A 24,314-nucleotide genomic window follows, 5' to 3' on the forward strand; every position below is an offset into this window, starting at 1 on the left:
AAATTGAGGAAACTTTTACAAAATAAATTACCAGGATTCATAAAAAGTCTCATGATCATGAAAGATGAAGAAAGATGAGGAATTAATTGTCACAGATTGTAGGAAACCAAGGAGACACAACTAAATGCAATGTAGAATCCAAGATAGGATTCTGTACAGAAAGAAGGACATTAGAGGAAAATCTTTTGAAATCGAAAAGAGTATTGTAGTTTAGTTCATTGTGTTTTATTAATGTTGATTTCCTTTTTTTGATAATTCAATTAAGGTAATATAAGTTGCTAACACTAAGGAAAGGTAGTCAGAGAAGACACCTAAATTCTCTGTATTAAAGTCTAAAATTCTTTCAAAATAATTAAAAAAAAAAAGTCAAGTCAGCCTTGTGGATAGATTTGTAAAATTTTCTAAACCCAACCTGCTTTTTAGTAGCCTGCATATTTTCTATGGTGTTTCCAAGCCTTGTAGATGCTATAGCATGTGAATGCTATATGCCAGATTTTTCAGTTTCTATACCATACAGGAATTACCAATTTTCAAACGATCACTTAGAACTAAAACTAGATTGTATGTAATTGAATCTTTGACGATTCAGTAGGCACTTCAGGACTTTGCAATACCTCTGGATCATGATTATAAACGTCAAATTATGGTTGTACAGCATAGGAGACTCACACAGAAGTGCCAATTAACAGAGATTCCTGGTTGAGACAATGACACATAAATGAGTGTTTTCCTAATTCAGGCCTGAATTAGTCAAAGTGAAATAAGGAACTTGCTCTCTTTTTTTAAAGCATTTACTCTAAACTCACTTGAGCTTGTTTCTGGGCATTACACAGCTCTCTTGCTCTAAGGCAATTATAAGAAATTGGCTTCGTGTGCCATGCAACATGTTTAGGGTCATAGACGACAAGATGTAAAGCAAGAAAATTGAGACCTTACTATAGGCTGAGTACTTCAAGATGAGGAAACAGAATCTCATAAAGGTAAAGTAACTGGCTCCCATGCTCACTAAGCTAGTAAAAGCTCTTGCCCAAATCTTCCAGATTCCGAAACTCAGGTTCCTTGAATTATCCAAGACTGTCTTTAGAATAGAGATATAAAATTATTTGAGAATTTGGCCTGTGATGTTGTTTTGCTGTGTCCCCACCCAAATCTCATCTTGAATAGTAGATCCCATAATCCCCATGTGTCATGGGAGGGACCCGGTTGGAGGTAATTTAATCATAGGGGTGAGTTTTCCAGTGCTGTTTTCGTGATAGTGAATAAGTCTTACAAGATCTCATGGTTTTATAAAGGGCAGTTCCCCTGCACACACACTCTTGCCTGCCACCATGTAAGATGTGCCTTTGCTCCTCCTTCCCCTTTCACCATGATTATGAGGCCTCCCCAGCCATGTGGAACTGTGAGTCCATTAAACCTCTTTTTCTTTAGAAATTACCCAGTATCGAGTATTTCTTCATAGCAGTATGAAAATGGACTAATACAGTCTATCTACATTAGAGGGCAACATCAAAGGGGCACACAACCACTCTATATAAATCCTGCAGGAATACCATTTCTCTCATCATTTGAAGATTTGTATCAATTAGTTTATGACAAGGAAACTTGATTTTATATTTAATTATAAGGAAAAAAATCTCTTTTAAAAATGGTTCTACAAATCTATCTGGTTTCTTTTTTTTAGAGAAGCTATATACTGGTAATGTGCCTGGCAGGCCATTGCTATCTCATCAGACCAAGAAGAGGGTTTGGACTCCCAATGTTGCCTATTTGCCATGTGCAGCTTTTCAACAGAATAATACAATGAGTATTCTGAGAAGTTGATGATACCTTGCCATATTCAGAACTGCTGCTAAAAGGGAATATTTAATATACCATGCAAAGAGGCAATTGTGTTTTGGAAACTAGAAGTCAGTGTAGAGCTATAATCTAGTTTTGTTGCACTTACCGAGGTCCAGGATAGAATATGACCCTTGAGAGTAGGGTGTTCTGTAAAAAGGGACAAAAAAGCCATGGTCTGGTATTGGATTATATAGTTTTGGGAGATGTATTCCAGGACTTACAGCACTGGTTTTGACATACCCCATTGTGTCAACAATTTTTTTTCCAAATGGCTTTATGAAGCTATCATAAGGTCCTCAAAGCAAAATTAATTTGAATTAGCATACACACAGTCACGTAACTATACAGTACTTCCATAAAGAAATGGGAAAGATGTCATGAAATCTAAGAAGCACAGATGTGGAATTGCATCTTCAGAATCCATGGAAAACTCTGGCTACCTGGTGACTTTTGTGTAGTTGCTTGGCTCTGGAGGAAGCTAAGGCTTGTATTCTTTATTGGTAGGGGAGTCAGTGGAATACTTTATTTTAATTAATTAATTAATTTTTAGGGACAGGGTCTCACTCTGTCACCCTAGCTGGAGTGCAGTGGCGTGATTGTAGGTCACTGTAACCTCAGACTTAGCCATCCTCCCACTCCAGCCTCCCAAGTAGTTAGAACTACAGGCATGCACTACTCATGCCCGCATGCCAGCTAGTTAAAAAAAAAAAAATTGATAGAGACGGGGTCTCACCATGTTACCTGGGCTAGGTGAAATATTTTAAACACTTCCTCAGACATCTCCAAAGTCTACATTTTACATTCTTGTCCTGAAATCCAATCTTAGTTTCTAATGGCGTATATGTGTAAAGATGCTTTTAACAACACGAATGTTTAGTGTGGCATAGAAAGTCCTTGAGCCAAATCCTGCCTTCAATGTGCACTTAAGTTTCCATTAAAGGAGAGTGGCAACTGAGCTTATAGAGCTGAGGGTAACATTTGAATTCTTTTATAAGAAATCAGAGTACTAGGAACTAGGATATTGAATTTCACTTTTACCCATGCTGACATTGACTTTCCTCTGGAGCATCACCAACTAGTGAGATCTAGTTCAGTTGCATGATTTTTTGTTTTTCTTCAGTGACCAAAATCCAGAGATACAAATCCAGGGCTTAGGGGGCTCGCATATAGATTTGCCATATTGCTGAGGGTCTGTGAGAGCTTAATCACTTTCATATTTTATTTATAAAGCAAATGTTCCATGACATTGAAACATTAAATGTATTATACTCAGTCATGTGCAATGTATAATTTTCTAAAATCTCTGATTAATTTAATATGGGTGATTTTCATTCTTTGATATGTGGCCTTGGTGTAATTTATAACAAGCTATAAATATTTGAAATGCCATGGAAATGTGGTTTGAGGAATAGTATTAACACCTGCCTTCTGTTCTAGTTGGGTTATATTAAGTTCTGAATGTACATGGGTATGTTTCTGGGATATTATTTGAGCTGTGGTCTGTCTGTGTGTGTAGTGACTGGCTGAATTAAAAGGGGTTCTCACTATTTTCTTAGCTTTTGATCTGAAACCAAGTCTAATTTTGGGAGTTTTATAGCAGCATTCCTTTTCTGTACTTTGTAATTCCTTGTAGAAGCAGAAATGCCAAAGTACTTTGCATGCTAACTCCTCTCCTTCTTACTCCACACACCCTTCCCAACTCAGTATGTGCGTTATAACCAGGAAATAAATAACACAATCCCTGTTAAAGCCTGTACCCTGAGACACACACATTGGATATGGTCCTGGTGACATTCTTCCTGTCATGGTATGGCTCAGCCAACCTGCCCAGGGAACTACAAGGATTGTCTTGAAATCTGATCCCTTCCTGCTTCCTTGGCAAGGCAGTTGAAAGGGGCAGCCTCTGAGCAAAGTGGCCTAAGCTTTGCCCCTCCCACATCCATCTTGTTCTTAGGAAGGGAAAGAGTGAGTGCAAAGCAGAGCCTGTGAAAGCTTTTGGCTTTCCCTGAGCACTTCCTGGTCTCCACTACTGAGTAATCTGAACCTCATGAACCTCACTTCCCTTATCTGTCAATGATGGGTGATAATAGTGCTTATCTCATAGGATCGTTTTAAGAATTAGGAATTGCCCATGTGAAGAGAGAGAGGGGGGTGGAAGAGTGAGAGCACTCATGCACACTTGGTACACAGTATGGGTGCATTGTTATTATCGCTGTAGTTCTTTCCCCTACTATTAATAATTCTAACTGTAAATGACTTGGTATTGAGTCACAGGTGGTGAAACTACCTGTTTGTTGCTCACTTGGCAGTTAACGGCCAATCCAGTAACAGAATGTGGGATTCCTGACTCCTACTTTGGGGTTTATTCTACCCGATCATGATGCTCTTTGCCCTCTTAGTATTCCATATTTAATGATATCTATGTTTTTGTGCATTTCCTTTCAAAACGATAAAAACCAAAGTGAAGCAAAACAGAAAACAAATATTCTTGCAAATAACATTTAGTGAGGGCAGAGGAAATTGTACTTCCCTTTTCTGTTTCTCCCCCTTTCATTCTGAGTGAGCCATAGTATTACACGTAAAAGTTGTGTAGCTGCATCTTTTTTCTTCTACAAGATGAGTGATTTATTATTTATGGAATTGGCTTGGGATTTATTTATGCAAGTGAACTTCTGCCATTCCAACTGCATTTCCAGTGGGTAATGTGCCTGGAGAGTTGTGGGGGTTGGTGATCAGGCCGCTGCTACAATCTGGCATTTGGGAAATGGCATCAGGTTATCTCCACTTAGTGACATTGGGCTCAACTGATCTTATCAGCCTTTCCAAAGACTGCTGTGTAATAGTTGAGGGTGAGAATAAAATATGTTTTAAAATATATTTTATTTCTCTATATAGGCATCACAATCCCTTTAAAAGGTATTCAGGGAGCTTGTTAAATGGGAAATAAAGCTAAGGAGGAAACAACACTGAATGAATTATATTAGTTGACATTGAAAGCAGTAACTTATTAAAATAATGCTTTATAATTATTTTACTTAGCCCAATGTTTTTCAAATATTGCTCTGTCTTCCCAGTATTCCTAGCAGAGACATGAAAAACAGGCCCATTTATCAACTATATGATGTGACGGTTAAATGGAAAGTTGGGCTAGATTTTCACTTGTGTGAATTTGCACCCTGGAAGTTGGACATTCATGATCAAGTGGTCTGGCAGGTAGGGGAAGCCCTGGGTGAATGGTTGTTGATTTAGGCAGTGAGATATTTGGAAGGTAAGCTTTCTTTGGAGAAGCTGGCTTTGCTGTCTTGTCTCCAATTTGTTGAAATTAAACACTACATTCAGATAGTATGGTCTAATGGTTACAGTAATGTTTGTGAAGATGAGAAATGTATTTGTATACACATAAGATATATTAGTTTCCCATGGCTGCTGTAACAAATCATCACACACTTAGTGGCTTAACACAACACAAATTTATTTTCCCACAGTCCTGGAGTTCAGAAATCTAAAATGGGTTAGCAGGGTTACATTCCTTCTGGAGGCTCTAGGGGAAAATCCATGACAGCAACCCCTACCCAGTACGTTCCCAAACTCATCTTCCTTTGCTTCCTTAAAATTGCTCTTTCTTCAGACAGACTGGGACAATCACTGTGCCCTGAGTGGGCTGGTTGGACTCCTATCTCTGAGCCTTACATAGTCTCCATTCTCCATCTTGGGAGGCTCCAGTTTCAACTCCTCCATGAAGCCTTGCTTGCCCACTCCAGCCTTCAAGAATTTCTCCTTTCCCTGAACCCACCCGTAGTGGGCCCAGCCACTCATTTGGCAGTTGTTAGGGAGTGTCTAAATCAGTTAATTGTCTTTATATGTCAATGGGTCTTATTTTTCCAAATAATTATAATCTTGAGATCTGGGGCCATTCCTTGCACATTTGCATGCTTTCCACTCAGCATTTAGTACCTAGTAAGCCTTAAATACATATTTCTTGATAACAGCATGTGTGAATAGGGATTAACTTTGCAGGGCTTTTGTTCTGGGATTTATTTTCCTGTGCTATTAATCAGGCACTTCATGCCATTTAAATTTATTGACCTTTAATTTCTTAGGAAACCCCCTCAGTCTACCATAGAGAATTATGTACTGACTCATTTTCATGACTGTGAAACTATATGAAAGTTCATGTAAGTTTTGTGGTAAGCTATACACCATTTATAGTTCTGACAATAGCGACTTTTCCTAAGCCTCCGTCCATGTATCAGACTAGGCCTATTTAAAGAGAGTTCTTATCTATGGAGATTTTTCCTCCCTGCTTAAGATGTCTGAAACCTCTATTAACAAAGCCCTCTCTTCTTGTGCATTATACTTGTAAGGCATAATCTTTGTAATTTCCTCCAAGGATTTCCTCAATATGAAAGAGTAAACTGTTTTACCAAAGCTATTGAATATACATTGCTTTTCTAATAGGGTATTTTCCACCTGATACTGCTGTTGCTGCTGCCAAACTAAGAAATATATGCAACCACGTTAGCAAATGAACATGCTTCTAAAAACAGACACTGCATATGTGGGAAAAACATTTCTAGAGACTTACAAGGTTAAAAGGAGACATGATCACCAGACCAATCCTAGGTTTGTGGCTTATGTAAGACCTGGTTGGTAAGCTGGTTATTGTCCTTGTGGCAGCCCAGTAACTGGAAGAAACAACATGCTAGCTAAGGCCAGACATTTTGTACAAGAGAATTTTCTGATTAGTACGAAAAGATAACCAATGTGCAAATATTTGTGATCCAATTGGTGAAATTTCCCAAGTGCTTTTGAGACCTTGGAGAATGTGGCCTTCATGAAGTCATTCTTTGGTTCTCTCTTTCCCCCTTTTTGAAACTTGGCTCTTGAAAAGGAGGGGGAGGGAAAAAGGAGGTGGTCAATCTTTTAGAGAAGTTAGAAAATAATCACTGTAGTTGTGTCAAAGCTGCCCTTTGAGACTATAATAATGATCACATCATAGATTTTAAGGCAGTCTTTCACTCACAGTTTCTAAATTGGAGAGGCTTTTTCCAGGAGACTCAATAGTGACCATAAGGATTGTTGTTAGGCTTCATTATGGCCTGCTTCCATTTTACATCCCCTAATATATTAGGCCATAGAAATCAGAAGTGTGAATTCAGCCTTTCATTTATCATTGTACCTCCCCACTTATCGTTAAATCCTTAATTTTGAAGGCTCAAGTGGCCTATTGTGCTGGCAATTAGCCAATTGCAGGTGCAAAATCTTGATGGCATCCACAGGGAGGCCTTGGTGGGAATTGTCTGAAGAAATGGATCCGTCTTTATGCACTTGGATGCAGAATTTGTGAGGGGATGAGTGTAAAGAATATTAAATGCATAACAGATGACATCCCAGGAAAGAATTGCAAGTGAAAATGAATGTGAAATTGCTTGTCTACGGATTGATCTTCTTTGATTAGGCAAAAAAAAGACCCTTCACTCTAAGCCCTTTACAATAGAAATACCCAGGATACAGTGGGAATGGAGACATTTAGATGTATACTCCATTGCCATCTGCCTAAAGAGTTCAATAATGGGGTGGCCTTCAATGCCTTTCTGTCTCCATTCAATACCAAGGCAAAATGTTCGGGCTTGGAATGTGAGCCCCAGCACAATTTAACCCCCAGCTTTATCTCCCATCACATGCCCTCATGAGCCCTGTGCTATAGTCTCCTGTTGTCATCTGAGCCATATCTCTCTCTCTCTCTTTGAAATTCCTTTCCCTGCTTTATATACTCTAACTGATCTGTAAAGATGCACATCAGGTCCTCATCACTTCTGAGAAACATTTCCAGGTCATTCTAGCCGAAGATAAAATCTTTATCCACCACATTCCTGCTGCACTCTGTATCTCTGTTTTTGTACTTAGCCGTGAATTAGAGTGATTTATGTCTCATTGATGTGTGTACTCCTGTAAAACCTAGCTTGGTGCTTTGGCACCGGTTCATTAAATTAATAACAACTGTATATCCAGTTTAGGAAAAACTTGACATAAGAAAATCCGAGCACATTCTTCTAAATAAGATATGTAAGAATTGGCAACTCATTAACAACTTAATGGAGAGGCTAGGGGGACCATCAGAGATGGAGAGCTCAATTGTTAGGATAAACTATCAGTTGATGCAATTAGAAATGGAGACAAACCATTTTTAAAACTATAATCAAAGAGAAAGTGGGAAGTGACTGATGATAGCTTAATTTACACACAATTTTGTGTATCTACAAGCTTTGCTTTATTTTTATTTTTTAGCTACACCTTTCTGAAATTTCTTGCATTGTTGTAGGTGGAAAGCTGAATTGGCCCTTTGAATGAGAGCAATGTCTGCTAATGCCATTTATGAATCTAATGCTAGAGGCCAGATTGAAGAAATGAGACACAGTATTCTATTTTCAACCACCTGGAGGTGTGATCCCTGCTTGGCAAGGTGAACATAGATGAGATGCACTTTTACCTCATCCTAGCCAGCAGGATTTGGAAAGACCAACCATCAGAGTCAGCAGATTCAAAACTACTATAGCAGGCCGCCTCCTCCATGTCTTTTCCTCCCTCCTTCCCTCCCTCTTTCCCTCCCTCCCTTCTCTTTCTTTTCCTTCCTTCCTTTCTTTCTTTCTCTCTCTCTCTTTCTTTCTTCCTTCCTTCCTTTCCTTTTCTTCCTTCTTTCCTTCTTTCTTTTCTTTCTTTCTTTCTTTCTTTCTTTCTTTCTTTCTTTCCTTCTTTTCTTTCTTTCTTTCTTTCTTTCTTTCTTTCTTTCTTTCTTTCTTTCTTTCTTCCTTTCTCTCTCTCTCTCTCTCGCTCTCTTCCTCATCTTTCTTTTCTGCCTTTCTTCCTCCCTTTCCTTCTTTCTTTTTCACCCTTATGTTTCTTTACAGGCAAAGATAAAGGACAAATCAGTTTTCCTTAATGAATAAATGACTCTATGCAAGAGAAAGGGGGAATGATCATTTAATAACTTTACATTATTTCCCCACACCTCCCTTATTTCTTTAGTCCCAAAGTGAACGTAAATTTCTGTTGGCTGGTATAATTTTTTGCCTGGCTCCAAAATGTTGTCATCAATTCTTGAAGGTTTGCAGCAAGTTTATATGTCTTTTGTCATCCAGCACAATTCATGCCTGCTTTTTCCTCCTGTGACTTCCATACTAGGGAGGATTAAAGCCCATTTTAGCCTAAGCAAAACAAAGTGAAGAGGGTAAAATATGCAGCATGCAGAATCAAGAAATGCAACAATGCACTGAGAAGCCAAGGGCTTACTCTCCTCAGCTAATGCACCATTTCAAGTCTCTGTCACTGGCCTTCTTGCACATAGAAGGTATGTGATAACTTTGAAAGAGATCGAATGGAATTTTACATTGACAGTGTCGTTTTGGTGGTTTAAAGTTTAGATGGAGTTGTCAAACCATTATCGTGGCTCTGCATCATAATCTCTAAAAGAAAATTACTGTATGTGAAATTAAAATGAATAGTTTCTGATTTTCCCATCTCTTTTCTATTCGTGCCTTTAGGGGGCCTTTAAGGACTAGAAGGCAGAATATTATGAAAGGAGATAGATATATTTATTCTACTCATGAGAAGGCCCAATGCTCTTGGCTTTGCCGCCTGTGAATCATCATGTCTTTCCTCCCTTGAAGGATAAATATGGCATTCATTCCAACCCATTTAGCCCATTATTCTTTTGTATATAAAATAGGTCCAATTAAGACATTCTTGTGTTAATTTCTGCATTCTATGTATGGGTAGAAAGAATTTAAAAATATCCATCACAGCAAATGTCTCAAAATGTTTCATGCATACTGAGCATACCACTCTTGCCCCCCTCCCCAACCCAAAGGCAATAATTCACCCAATCATGGAGATTTGTGATTTTGTGTTTTCCACTTACCTACATTAAGGCTCTGTGTATGCACAATTCAATATTTAGATGAAGCCATATATTTGTAAATATCTGGTGTTTTTACTAAAAGTTTTCATTTTTATCCAGATGTCTGACATCATAGAAAATCAGTCTAAGAATCTACTCTTTATATGTTAACTCATTCATGGTTATTCAAGCATACAAACAGAAAGAGACATGCTTACCTTGTTCTTGTCTGCATCCCCTGCCCCTCCTCAATGAGCGAGGGGGTGGGATCATCATGTTCTGAAGTGTCTAACTGAAATTTCATTATGTGTCTTCCACTGGTCATGGAAATTCATTAGACAAGCCACTCTGGGCTTTAATCTTCCATTTACTAGCCGTATGATCTTGGGAAAGTCATTGAACTTCTCTTTGCAGCTGGCTTCTTTAACTCATAAAAATGAAAAGAACCCAGGGAAGAGTTGGGATCTTATAATTGCCAAGGCACCATTGCAACCCAAAGTTCTGTGAATTTCTTTACTTCTACCTTGTATGAAAATTAACAGTTGATGAATATTATTGTGCCAGTGTCCCTTGTGTTATAATTTAGCGTACTTTGAGGTGATGTTGACATCTTGTGTGTAAGTTGGTATACAATAACCAAAAACATTGTTTTCAAAATTTAAAATAAAAGGACAACATTTTCTTTTTTTTTTAAATTTTATTATTATTATACTTTAAGTTTTAGGGTACATGTGCACAACGTGAAGGTTTGTTACATATGTGTACATGTGCCATGTTGGTGTGCTGCACCCATTAACTCGTCATTTACATTACATATATCTCCTAATGCTATCCCTCCCCCCTTCCCCCACCCCACAACAGTCCCCGGTGTGTGATGTTCCCCTTCCTGTGCCCATGTGTTCTCATTGTTCAATTCCCACCTATGAGTGAGAACATGCGGTGTTTGGTTTTTTGTCCTTGCGACAGTTTGCTGAGAATGATGGTTTCCAGCTTCATCCATGTCCCTACAAAGGACATGAACTCATCATTTTTTATGGCTGCATAGTATTCCATGGTGTATATGTGCCACATTTTCTTAATCCAGTCTATCGTTGTTGGACATTTAGGTTAGTTCCAAGTCTTTGCTATTGTGAATAATGCCACAATAAACATACGTGTGCATGTGTCTTTATAGCAGCATGATTTATAGTCCTTTGGGTATATACCCAGTAATGGGATGGCTGGGTCAAATGGTATTTCTAGTTCTAGATCCTTGAGGAATCGCCACACTGACCTCCACAATGGTTGAACTAGTTGACAGTCCCACCAACAGTGTAAAAGTGTTCCTATTTCTCCACATCCTCTCCAGCACCTGTTGTTTCCTGACTTTTTAATGATCGCCATTCTAACCGGTGTGAGATGGTATCTCATTGTGGTTTTGATTTGCATTTCTCTGATGGCCAGTGATGATGAGCATTTTTTCATGTGTTTTTTGGCTGCATAAATGTCTTGTTTTGAAAGTGTCTGTTCATATCCTTCGCCCACTTTTTGATGGGGTTGTTTGTTTTTTTCTTGTAAATTTGTTTGAGTTCATTGTAGATTCTGGATATTAGCCCTTTGTCAGATGAGTAGGTTGCAAAAATTTTCTCCCATTCTGTAGGTTGCCTGTTCACTCTGATGGTAGTTTCTTTTGCTGTGCAGAATTTAGTTGAATTAGATCCCATTTGTCAATTTTGGCTTTTGTTGCCATTGCTTTTGGTGTTTTAGACATGAAGTCCTTGCCCATGCAAAGACCCCTTGAATGTTGAGTGTTGCGTGTTGATGCAATTCACACTCGCCTTATGTTTACTCCTTGTAAAATCTTTCTTGTGTATACCTGTTCGATAGAATCAGCGTGTAAGAAGCTCATACAAAATATGTATCCTCAAGATCGTGTAATATTTGGTTACTAAAAAGATTCACTGCCAGAAGAGATACAACAAAGTTCCTCTGAATTATGAAGTAAAACTTTGATTTAAAAAATGTTGCTTTCCATTGAAAGGTATCTTTCCACAAGGGAGAACATGATGATAGATCTTTACACAGGAGTGACATCCAGGGAGAGCATTTAGGGTATATATACAATGAACCTTACTTATTTTCTCTTTCTCTCTCTCTGAGTGTATCTGTACATTTATATTTATGTGTGTATATATTTATGTATGAATATCTATAGTTTATATTATTAGAAGATGAAAGTTATTTATAACCTGAATTATGTTATTTCTGTGACTAACTCTTTAAAAGTTCTAAATATCTGTTTGAGTCATTAAAAAAAATCTTATTTTCTTACCTAAGGGACAGTTGAGGTTTATAGCCTGTGTTAGTCTGTTATCATGTTGCTATAAAGAACTGCCCAAGATTGGGTAATTCATAAAGGAAAGAGGTTTAATTGTCTCACAGTTCACAGGGCTGAGGAGGCCTCAGGAAACATACAGTCATGGTGGAAAGGGAAACAAACACATCCTTCTTCACATGGTGGCAGGAAGGAGAAGTGCCGACCAAAGGGGGAAAAGCTTCTTATAAAACCATCAGATTTTGTGAGAACTCACTCACTATCACAAGAACAGCATGGGAGTAACTGCCCCCATGATTCAATTATCTCCACCTGGTCCTGACCTTGACACATGGGGATTATTATAATTGAAGGTGAGATTTGGGTGGGACACAGAGCCAAGCCATATCATAGCCTTGAGATTGAATGGATCTAATTTAAAAAAAATACCATTTCATTCCTTTACAAATATTTTGCTTTATGATGACATCAGCAGAAATTGATACAAGGTGGATTTTTATAAGAGGGCTTCATGTTAGCTGGGACAGTTTATTTAGGCATGGTTATCATTTTCTTATGAAGGAAACAGATTGACCAAAGGGATTCTGCTATTCGTAGAAGTGAGCAAGTACTGAACAGGGATAAATTTCTAGTCAAAATGGATGCCTACTGAACAAGACTTTTGGTACTGAAAGAGTATTATGTTGCACCTTTTGTCTTGCTCATGACCCTAGACCCCACTGCCTGATAACCACCAGAAGGAAAGAACTCCCTATGCCACTGAGTGAAGTTATGATGCAACCTGTCCAGAGGCCAAAGAATATTAAATGAGAACACCCAAGGACACCAGAAAAAATGAGATAAACATTCTTTTCTTCCTGTTTCTTCCTCAGCTTCTTATATTCTATTTTCCTTCACTATGACCTATTATTCATCTTCAAAATCCCTCAAACTGGCAGTTTTGAAGGATTCCACATGTAGCCTTGCATACAATCCCTCATGGCTTTCATAAAGACCGTGTCATTTGTCCTGCATGAGTCCCTCCTGACCTCTCTTATCCTGGGGCTACAGACTTTCTCCAAGATAGCTCAGGTGCTAATGTCAGCAAAACAAAGCTGATAATGATCGGTACTGTGTGTGGGAGTGCAGTCTGACTATTGAAACAGCACTAGAACAAGGACTTTGGACCAAATACATAGCTGAGCCCAGAGGTTGCATTATAAAAATGAAATCCCTCAACTTCCTTCCTGCACACACTTCACCTCATTTTGCTGGATGGCTCCAATGTAATTGATGAACATATTCTTTACCAGAGCTGTTAACAAATAGATTGAGAAAAAGTGGGTTTCATCTTTTATTCCTGTTATTAATCTTCCAAAAGTTGGTAAGATGTCCAGAAGATGAGAGATAGTTGGAAGATGGAATGCTGCATTAATTTAAGACCTCTGTGTTGATAGAATATTCCAGATATGCCTTCTGTAAACAACTGTATGGGAAAGATTTATCATAGTCCATGTATCTGAACTCCCAGTTGCATAAGCTACATACAGAAGTCAAACGGATGATATGTACCCAAATATATAACAACAGTTTTTCTCCATCTTGCCTCCCTAGAGGACTTTCCCAAACCACAGTCTTGATGACTGCTATTTCACACTTTGGCTATGTGATTTTATGAGTTCTGTGTGATCTACCAGCATATTTTTGTTTGCTTTAGCAATTTTACCAAGAAATACATAATTGAGATTATTGTCCTGACAAAGCATTTTCATCAGTGTGATTAGAAATACATAATTTTGAAGAGTGACAGTAATTGCCACCCCAATGTGTATGCACTTTTGAGGTTAGCTCAGAGGGACTAAGTCCTTAGAATGTCGATAACATGAGCGTGCAGATGTAGTCAGCATTGTCAAACTCCGGAGTTCAGTCTCAACAGAACTGTCACCAGGACTAGAGTCACAGGTGTCAGTTTTTCTTAGGGAAGAGTGTCTTGGGCCATTGGTTGCATAAAGTAAGGCTTGTCTCTCATTGTTACTCAGTAGTCTAGTAAGTGATGTTCTTAGGAAGTCCATACTTTGTGGTTTGTGGCTAGCAAATGTGAAGGGAATGAGTTAGGTGGCAGGGGAGCTGTGTTTGTAATAAAGATTGTTTTCATTTTTCCAATAACTCTTCACCTTCGTACCATTGTTATTCATACTATGTGCCTTAGAACTCCCAAAATGTAAGGTAAGGACCTTTAAAAATATATCTTAATTCATTCATTTTAGAGAAACTGAAATGTACAAATTAGTGCATTTTATCTCTGCTGGTTAATTTCTGAATCCTTCATTATGCCCTGGGTTCAATTAAAAAATATATATATATATATTGTTCTTCTAGTGATTTTTGGGTTGTAATATAGACTGATCTTACTCTGGAAAAGACATTCTCATCAGAAGACCTGGATTCCAGGCTCTCTAATACTAATTTTGAGCATGCTTTGTGATTTTGAGCAAGTCTTTTTACGTATCCCTACCTTATCTTAGCTACTCCTCCCTACTGGGACTTTTATTTTTCCTCTAGGAGATTTCTGGAACTTGTTGCCTCCAAAGGAAAAGCAGTGCCTCTTTAACTCTGATTTTTAGCAATTGTAGTAACCACCCATTTCATGAAAACCTTTTATCAGAGCTGCCAACTCATACCATAAAGGATGGATTCACATTTTTCAACTCTTCTATTTTCTGGTCTGCCCTTTGTTGGTGATTTCAATGAGTATCAAAATAGAATCCTTGCACAAGTAACATAACTCTCAGATAGCAAAATGATGATAGAAAGCACTCTCAAAGGAGAGCTGTGCAAGGCAGTGAATGCTTTATGAGCCAAACAAGCACCTGAGTTTGGAAGAGACGATTCCAGGGAGCTGTCCTGGTCTAGCTGCCATAGCAGAAGTGATGGCAGGAGCTAAGGACATACCAATTTTTATGCTTTCCTGAATCATGGGATCTGTGATTAGAGCAAGAGCCCTTTTATTGGACGAGCTTGGGACAAGTTATTGGTTGGCTAATCAAAAAGTCATTTCAAGCAAGGAATTATTTAGAAATTTTAACATATAAAGCATTTTGTTTTAATGTGTATAATATATATATTCATTTTCTAATTTTTGGTGGTCTTTTTTGGAGTATTGGATGACTTATTGAAGTTCCATGTTGACTTTTTTTTGTATAAACCACACCCTTTATCCATTTCCAGTTTAAGTTTCTTTGAAGTGGAACAGGGCTTACAGGCACTTGGGAAATGATCTCAGCAGTTTTTTAGTGATACATTTTAATCAAGTTTCTCTAGATATTCAGCTGAGTTTTTATAGAAACAGTAAGTCTGTTTTTCACTCATATTTAGTCAGTTTATCTTATATTTGTTTCAATTATGTAATCATAATAACAACTACAATTGGCATAAACTCTCCTGTGGTGAGAACGCAACTCAACTAACAAGAACATTGTGTTTCAGGCACTCTATTGAAGAGCCCATTAGCTGTGGATATTTAGCTTTTTTTGAGTAAAATGTGTTAGGATCATCCATTCATTTATTTATTATATTTAGTGAGCTACCTACTATGTGCCAGGTACTCTGCTAGGTGCTGGGAACATATTGGTGATGCAATAAAATGCCACTGACCAGGAGCTTACATTCTAGTGGGTGAGTCAGAAAGTAAACAAGTAAATATAGCTATAGAGGTTTGTCCTATTTACTTTAGTCTATTATGCATGATTTGCAATTACTAAATTATGATGTTAACATGTCAAGAGCATTAGGACTATACTGCTAATTTAACCTTGTTACTTTAACATTGTCAATTGTTTACTTGAAATCCAGCACCTGAGTGATTGAAAAGTTTCATATTCTCAAGCCTGAAAGAGTCAAAGTGAAGTGGGGCATTTTTGTCATGTGATACCTCCTGATGCTTATAAAGTAGATGCAAACAGCAGTTGAGGCAGCCCTTTGCGAAAGCTCTGACAATGATTTCTATTATTCAGTGCACATGGGTTGAGCTGTAGTAGTCAGGGTCCTTCAGAAAAAGAGAACCAGTAGGAGACAGTGTAGTGTAGGTAAATAGAGGGAGAGAGAATTTTACTTTAAGGGATTGACACACAAAATTGTGGGAGTTGGCACATCTGAAGTCTGTAGGGAAGCCAAGAGGCTGGAAATTCAGGTAAGAGTTGATGTTGCAGTCCGGAGGCAGAACTTCTTTCCTGGGAAACCTTAGCCCTTGCTTGTGACACCTTCAACTGATTGGATGAGATCCACCCACATTATGGAAGGTTGACTTGACTTAAAGTCAACTTGTTGTGAACATTAATCACATCTACAAAATCCCTTCCCAGCAACACCTAAACTGGTTTTGACCAGCTGACTGGGGACCATAGCCTGGCCAACTTGATATCTGCAGTTTACCATCACAAGCACCTACTCTATAGGTGCAGCGCTCAGTGCTGGGAGCTGACAGGCTCAGTTTCTATGCTCAAGAGCTCTAAGTCAAGACTGTCTGCCTTGAGTATCAGAACCCTACAATGTAGTAGGGAGTCAATTGCTATTGTCTCTTGCGATGTAGTCCCAGGCCAACCTGTGCCAGATTTCTGGCATAGGCTGTTTGCCTATTCCTGCCACTCTCCTTCCCATGCCACGTTCTCATTCACTTACTCCTTGAACTCAGCATATTATTTGGTAGCCATGGTTGTATAGTATTTTAACTGAGTTGTCACTAACCTTTTACTCCAACTACACTGTAAGCTCTTCAGGGACATTATGTGTTTGCATCCTGGCAAGGAGGCTGATGAAGATGAAGCAGGGGCTTGGTAGAAACAATTCAGGTGCAGTGTGTTGCCATTGATTCTAGTAGGAATTGCCCAGAGATTAAGAAATAAAAATAAAAAGTCATCAGATTAGTTCTAAAGGTTATAAAGATGGTATCATATAATATAAAGAAATCCACATGCTGTATTTTTCTGGGCAAACCATTGCTCTTTGCTGACCCTTAGTTTTCTCATATGTAAATGAAAGGGACAGATGAAGTGTTCTCTTTGCTCTAAAAGCCAGTGATTTTAATTGACTTCCATGCAGAAGACCATGAGTGTTATTTAGTATTGAAAGAATGGCAAACATTTGTTTTTTCTAAACCTTTGAAAGGCTTAGAGCTGGAAAGAAATTGTTCTTTTTAAGATCTGTGTGAATTGGTGTGCCTTAAAAAAGTGAAATGATGTGTTTGTATCTCCCATTCCACTGTGCCTAGCTTAGTGCCTGGCACCAAGGAGGTGCATATTAATGTTTGCAGAAACTGACTGAGAGAAGAACTTAAATATTGGAGGGTTTATTTTAGTCCTAATATTTTATGTGAATGTATTATCACTTCCATTATATAGTTCATATATATGTCCCACTCAAACATTTGAATATATATATATATATATATTTAACTTGGTCTAGAATTTAAACCACTTCAAATCATATGAGGAACAAGAAGAGTTATGTTAATAAATATATAGGTAATAAAAATAAAAATAAACAGATAATCTGTTTGCATGGAAGACTCGTGTAGGTATTATGTATTAACATAAAATAACCACAGAGTTTCAAACTGCATCAAGCTAGAAAAGCAACTCCAGATTCATAGTCCCAAGTGTGAGCCTCTCCTATCCCAGTTCTTTTGAAAATTTCTGCCTCTTTCAACGTGAGGTTTCATAATTTGGCCAACACATGTGCCTTTAAAGCCTACAGGGTTGGTAGAAGGTCTGTGATAAGCTGGCAGTTTTGTTATTCAGATAGTGATTTTGTCACTGCAATTTGACAAAAACTACACATCTAATTTAATTTTTAAGATGTTTCTAAACCAGTAGCTCTAGACATAGCAAGCTAATGTCAAATAACATAGGCTTATTTTGTAAGGGCCAAGTCTTTAAATTTCTGACTTAGTGGGCAATTTTGAAGTGTCGAATAATGCATCTTCTCACAGTTAAGCTGCTTTGAATCAGCAGAGGTTTTGCAGTCCGCAGTCCCTTCCCCATCACCACGTCTAACCTCGTCACCAGCCACTTTTTATTCTGAACTCCTCTCCTTTAGCACCTAATTTTGTCATTCTGTATACACAAAACTATAATGATCTGGGTTAAAATGTGTTTGATTCCAACATAACTTAAAAAAAGCTTTCTCAGGATGTATCAGCATTGAAGTTGCTCCCATCTTTTAAAGCAATGCAGCCATATTACCGGCATTATTTTACTTTGTATACCTGCTTCAATATATATCTTATATTGCCTGTGCAGATATTTAACTTGCTGATCATAGCAAAATGAGTTTCAATTGATTTATGTATATTTTTTCTTTATGTATAGATATACTTCTTATTGAACAATGATAATCAGAAGGAAAATAAGACTAGATTGTTGAAAATCAATGTAATTAGTGTTGATTTCTCTTTACATTTCTTTTTGTTTACATATCATTAGTATTTATAAAGCTAAAATAATATTCACAGTTACTTTCAATATAAGAGAAATCACTACTGCCCAAAACTAGACTATAGGGCACCCAAAATCCAGATGGGAAGTAAAATTTCTGTCACATGTCCAATTTTCCCCCAAATGGTAACAGTCCTTTTTATACTTGCACATCATCTGCATCCTAAACATGTATTCAGAAACATTGATGCGTCTAAGAATGGAGTTATAACAATTGTCCGAGGATGTCTGGAATTTAGTTTGTACTTAGCCCATAGCAAAATGCAAGTGAACATAAGAAAACCACTTCCAACATTTTGAGTCTCTAGTTATGAGCTCCATTTTCTCCATTGTTCTTTTTTTTTGCATGCTAATTAGATGAGTTTGTCTCTTGTGAATCTATCTCTGCAGGCTTCTGTACCATTTCCTTGTGTCTATGAGGGACCTGTCACTCTTCACTGACTTCATCTTAATAATTTGCTTTCCCTGGGGGCCTTGCTTGTCCACAGGGATTAGCTACTCCAAAGAAGGGATACCTAACTTGAGGCTCTAAGCTCAGCAGCCAGGCCCTGTCAATAGCTGTGAATAACTGACTTCTGGGCATTCAGCTGCACATGAGCTTCCAGAGGTGCAAGATTGATGTGTCCCCTGCTGGCTTAGCATGCTGGCCTGTCCTGAGACTAACGTGACTTGTAGAACTGTTACCTTGTCACTGACAGATTTGCTTAGTGGTGCTGACTTTTGGCCCCTTACTCCTCCCGCCAAAGCAAAGGTCAGTGCAGCAAAAGACATCTTCAAAGGACAGGAGAGTGGTCACTCTTTCCAGTCAGAAAGAGCATGTAGCTCAGTCAGCCTCATTATCAGTCGCATCTGGCCTCCCACCAATTAGAGGACACTTCATTTAGTGATCTAGTGCTGCCTGTCCCTTCCTCCTCTGGACTGGATGGACATCAGAAACTTCAGATGCCAGTTACCTTTCTTTCATTTCTCTAGTCTTATTAATGTGTTACTTTAAAAAAGTCACACTTTCTTTCCTCCATCAGAAAAATGTCTTTGTTCCTAAAGATAGAGGATCCTTCAGCCATTCTAACTTAGAAGGGAAAGGTAAAATGCATTAGTTCAATTTAAGCACCAAAGACTGTTATCACCAATGACCTGTTTAAGCAGGGTGTATCATGGGGATTAATGACAGACTCAAGGGAGCTGATGACCCACAGCCAAACCAAAAGGCCATTAACTCCCATCAGTTATTTAATTCCTGGGGAAAACCCGTTTGGAGGTAATTATTGCTGTTATAAACTGGACAAAAAACAGAGGTGCACGAGTTATATTAATGAACCCTGATCATTTTATTTTATAATGTTAATCCAATAAAAAAGTAAATGGTTTTAAAAATTTGAGTTTCACTTTTTAATTTCTAAGGAAATGCTCCTTTGGAAAAATTGGTGGTGCCAAGAGAGGCCCAGCAGTTTGGTGGACTCTCCCCCTATTCTGTCTTCAATTCTTAATCTCAGACATGCTGAACTAAAGAGACATGGATGTCGGGTGGTATTGTCTTAGAGCAGCATCTCTCTACCATTTACTCTTTGTGGTTATTTGTGTTAATATTTAGCCAGACAGGCCTTCTGCTTGCCAGCTTGCACCCAAGTCATTTTACTCTCCTGGTGCGAGTTCAGGTCTCTTCTTCACTCCCTCCTCTACTCCCACCTTTGTCAACCATATTTGGCAAGAATGTACTATGTCCAAGGTGCTGTGTTCTATTGGGTGTAGGTGACATGGATGCATATTTGATATTAAAGACAAAGAGGTTAGATGATAGGATTTCTGAGATGAAAGGGGGTGCATTAGTTTCCTAGGATGGCTGTAACAAACTGCCACAAACTTGGTGTCTTTAACAATGGTTATATTTTTTTCTTACAGTTCTGGAGGCCAAAAGTCTAAAATCAAGGTGTCCAGGGCCACACTAGCTCTGAAAGTTTTAGGAAAGAATTCTTCCTTGCTTCTTCCAGCTTCTCATGGTCCCAGGCATTCCTTGGCTTTTGGCTGCATTACTCCAATCTTTGTCTCCATCTTCACATGGCCTTCTCTGTGTCTCCAATCTCCCTCTCCTTTCTCTCGTAAGGGCACAAGTCAATGGATTTAGGACCCACCCTAAATTCAGAATGATTTCATCTTGAGATTCTTAATTTAATGCGGTGCTAAATACCCCATTTTCAAATAAGTTCACATTCACGGGTTCTGGGTGAACATATATTTTGGAGATCACTATTCAAAATACTATAAGACTGGGCATAGTGGTTCATGCCTGTAATCTCAGTGCTTTGGGAGACTAAGGCAGGAGATTGCTTGAGGCCAGGAGTTTGAGACCAGCCTGAGCAATCTAGCACTCCATCTCCACAAAAATAAAAAATAAAAAAATAGCTAGACATGGTGTCATGCACCTGTAGTCCTAGCTACTCCAGAGACTGATGTTGGGGAATTACTTGAGCCCAGGAATTTGAGGCTCCAGTGAGCTATACCATGATCCCGCCATTGCACTCCAACCTGGGTGACAGAGCAAGATTCCATTTCTGAAAACAAAAACAAAAAGCCAAATGCTACAGGAAGCAAATTCCAGGCAGGATCATTAGAGAAGACTTAATAGAAGAAGTAACCTTTACATGTAGACATGTAGAAGAAACGTTTTTCGAGGTGGAGAGAATATCATGAGGTCAGAGACACAAGACAAAGGAGGGATTGTGGCAAGGATGGAGTTGCAGAAGGATTGAATGGGGGTCAGCTTGCCCAGGCACAGAATGTAGAGGACAGAGGAGTGAGGGGCAAATTTAGGAGATGGGCATGGGCCATATTGTAACCATTGGCCTGGGAAAGACTGAACACTGTAAAATAAGACAGGAGACTTTAGAAATGCTTATAAGAGAAAGGTAATGAAAACAGGGCAGTAGCAATATCAATTGATAGGAAGGACTGGATTCTGAAGGTAAAATGAATGGTCTGGAAGCTTGTAGATTTCATAGATGGATGAATTAGTGTGAACAAAGAGCAGTAAAGGGAAGGAGGCAAAGATGATGCCCATATGTCATGTCTGTGTGACTGGGGGTTTGGTGAAATTGATTAAAGAAATGAGCAACACAGGACAAGGAGCAAGTTTGAGAAAAAAATTGTATCATATGAACTTTGAGACATTGGAGGGCCAGGCAGAAATGATCCTCTACTAGGTGAGATTTCAGGGCTTGAGTTCAAGGGGGTATCACAGGTGTCTTTTATGTAGATTTGGGTGTCTTTTGTGTAGAGCACCCTTCAAAGCTCTGAGATTGGCCAAGCTGGCCAAGGGAAAGCTTATGGTGTTCGAGAAAGAGCAAGCACAAGGAGAGCCTTGGGGACTTCCTCAATGGAAGGAGGAGAAGCCAAAGGTGGGAAAGGAGATTGTAAAGAAGAAGCCAGGGCAGCAGAATTCAGAGCTGGTGAGGCCCATTTTCCTGAAGCCAGGCAGGAAGGTGTCAGGAAAGTGGAACTGCTTTGAAGTGAGAGACTGGTGATGGGGGGACAACACTGTGAATGTACCTAATGCCACTGAATTGGACACTTAAAAATGGTTAAAATGGCAAATTTTCTACTATATATTTTCTATTATATATTAATATACTTTAATTTGAATAAAATATTAATGTAATATACCAAAAAAGTGGAAATGATCAACAATGTCAAATACTGTGGATGAGTCTATGGAGATAACTGGGAAGAGAAAGCAAACTACTTTTAAAATATTTGCCAGAGAGAACCAACCATGATTAGAAAGGTTATTTAGTTATCCCCAATCATCCTGATTTAGTTGGCACTTTGAAAAACATGTTAGCATATTGGGTTACTTCTTGTGTTGAACACTTGGCATTATAAAAAATTATTGGTCTGGGACAGGTAGGTAACCAAAAAAAAAAAAAAAGAGAGATTTATTGGGCTATGAATGCATGGCCTCCTTAGAGCCAAAGTGGTCATACACATTGAAGCAGAGAAAGCTAGCTATGATATTTGTTTCTAGAAGTAAAATCCCAATTCTGATAGTTAATGATATGCTAATTGCTGTAAAGACATAGTGGCAGTTTCTTCAAGACTTTGACACCTTCTCCAGATTGATATAACAGCTGCACTGTATTGGAAAGCTACATTCTGCTTTGGCAGATGAATGGTGGCAGTCTCTAGCAGGCATCTCTCATGGTTTGCTAAGATATCAGTTTGACTCTAACATTTTTTTTATGTGTTGGTTGGCATTGCCCATAGGAGTGAGCATTTGCTCTATAAGTAAATGTGACTTTTATCATAGTACTATTAGATATACTGAAATAAAATATGTATTTCCCAAAGTGTATCTCATTTTAAAGTAATTATCCAAGGAAAATAGAAACCTCATAAAGAATATTAATTGGCCTCAGGTGAATTACAACTATATGACAAGAGTTTGTGTGTGTGTGTGTGTGTGTGTGTGTGTTCTGAATGATCAGCGAGGTTGAAGGAATAGGGAGAAGATGATAATCTCTCTATGTCTCAGTTTTCTTATCTGTAAAATGAGGGGACAGGACTGATTAGCCTCTGAAAGCGTACTTTCAACTGTAAATATTATGTGCTTCTAATATTGAGAATGGAACAGCAACAGACATGCCTAAAACTTTGAGATAAAGCTTTATATGCTTTCAAGTGGCAAATTGTTAGTTTACTTTAATGAATCCAAACTTTATGAAGTCAAATATTTGATTAATTGCATCATTAATCTGTTTCTATTAGCTGATTGAAACAAATTGTTTATTAATTTCCAGTTGGTAATATGTAAATTTATAATTTAATTAAAATCTCATTATGTATTTTTTAAGACAAAAGGCACATTGGTACAGAGTTTGATGAGTGAGACACAGACAATGCTATAGAATCAGTTCAGCTGCAAGAAAGACAATTTGTTACCAGGCTCTGTGCAGAGGGAGAGCTGGGCCTGGGGCCAAGCTACTGGGCCCACTTAGAATCACAAGGAAGCTTTTTATAGAATGTGAGTTCCCTTGAACACTGACATGCTTCCTCGGTGAGTCTGAAAATTAGAACTTTAGAAGTGAGAAGGCTTCTCAGGATTATCAGGCTCTAGTCCGGCTCCCTGTCAGGTATTTGAACCCACAACTCTTGAGCCTGTTCAGTGGGCCAAGTAAAGCTTGCTTCCCTGTGGATGGAACCAAACTCACCATCATACACCTTCTTCTCTGTGAACCCCCAGGAAGTCTGCTTTATCTTCCCCAAGCTGTGCTTCAGAGATTGAAAGACAGAGCCCCTATGTGCCGAGTCTTGTCTTTTTAAAGGCAAAATATACCCAGGTTTTTTTAACAACTGTCCACAGAACAGCGTTGTGAGCCCACTCTGCTTTCCTTGAAGCTGATACATTCCATTTTACCTAGTTCCCTAGAGAGTACCAGACCCCACAGAAATGCCCCCTGTGTGGGGTCTTACCAGAGCTTCTCTGGTCAGGGTTACCAATTAAATGTATTTTCCGTAGAGACCTGTGTGCACGTTAGTGAAGCATCTTGATGAGGGAGGAGGTTTCTCACACAAAGGGCCTGAAGGTAGCCATTTCCCAGGGGGCATTAAAGTCCCTCACTGGGCTTAAAAATGTGCAGGGGCCCACATCTTGGTGATTTGGTTTTGATTTTCTGGATAAATTTGGGGAGCAGTTTTGAGTGAGATACCACAGATAAACATTTGCCTTTGCCTTTGTAGTGTAATTATTGACCATTTGGGGTAATATTTTTATTCCTTGTTTTCCTCAAAGACTTCCCTGATA

General features: G+C 38.5%; 1 protein-coding gene across 5 annotated transcripts in view, besides 1 other annotated feature; it reads left to right on the plus strand.

Moving 5' to 3' along the window:
* The window catches only part of AFF2 (ALF transcription elongation factor 2), a 500,047-nt gene that overhangs the window by 105,529 nt on the left and 370,204 nt on the right, over window positions 1-24,314 (plus strand). The window lies entirely within an intron of this gene.
* Window positions 4,305-4,414: an enhancer, noted in NCBI's record as "active region_30009". NCBI's record gives its function as "activates an Ori minimal core promoter by ATAC-STARR-seq in GM12878 lymphoblastoid cells {active_cell/tissue: GM12878}" and the evidence as "EXISTENCE:reporter gene assay evidence [ECO:0000049][PMID:35858748]".

The sequence above is a fragment of the Homo sapiens genome, chromosome X, assembly GCF_000001405.40.
Source record: "Homo sapiens chromosome X, GRCh38.p14 Primary Assembly".
NCBI lineage: Eukaryota > Metazoa > Chordata > Mammalia > Primates > Hominidae > Homo > Homo sapiens.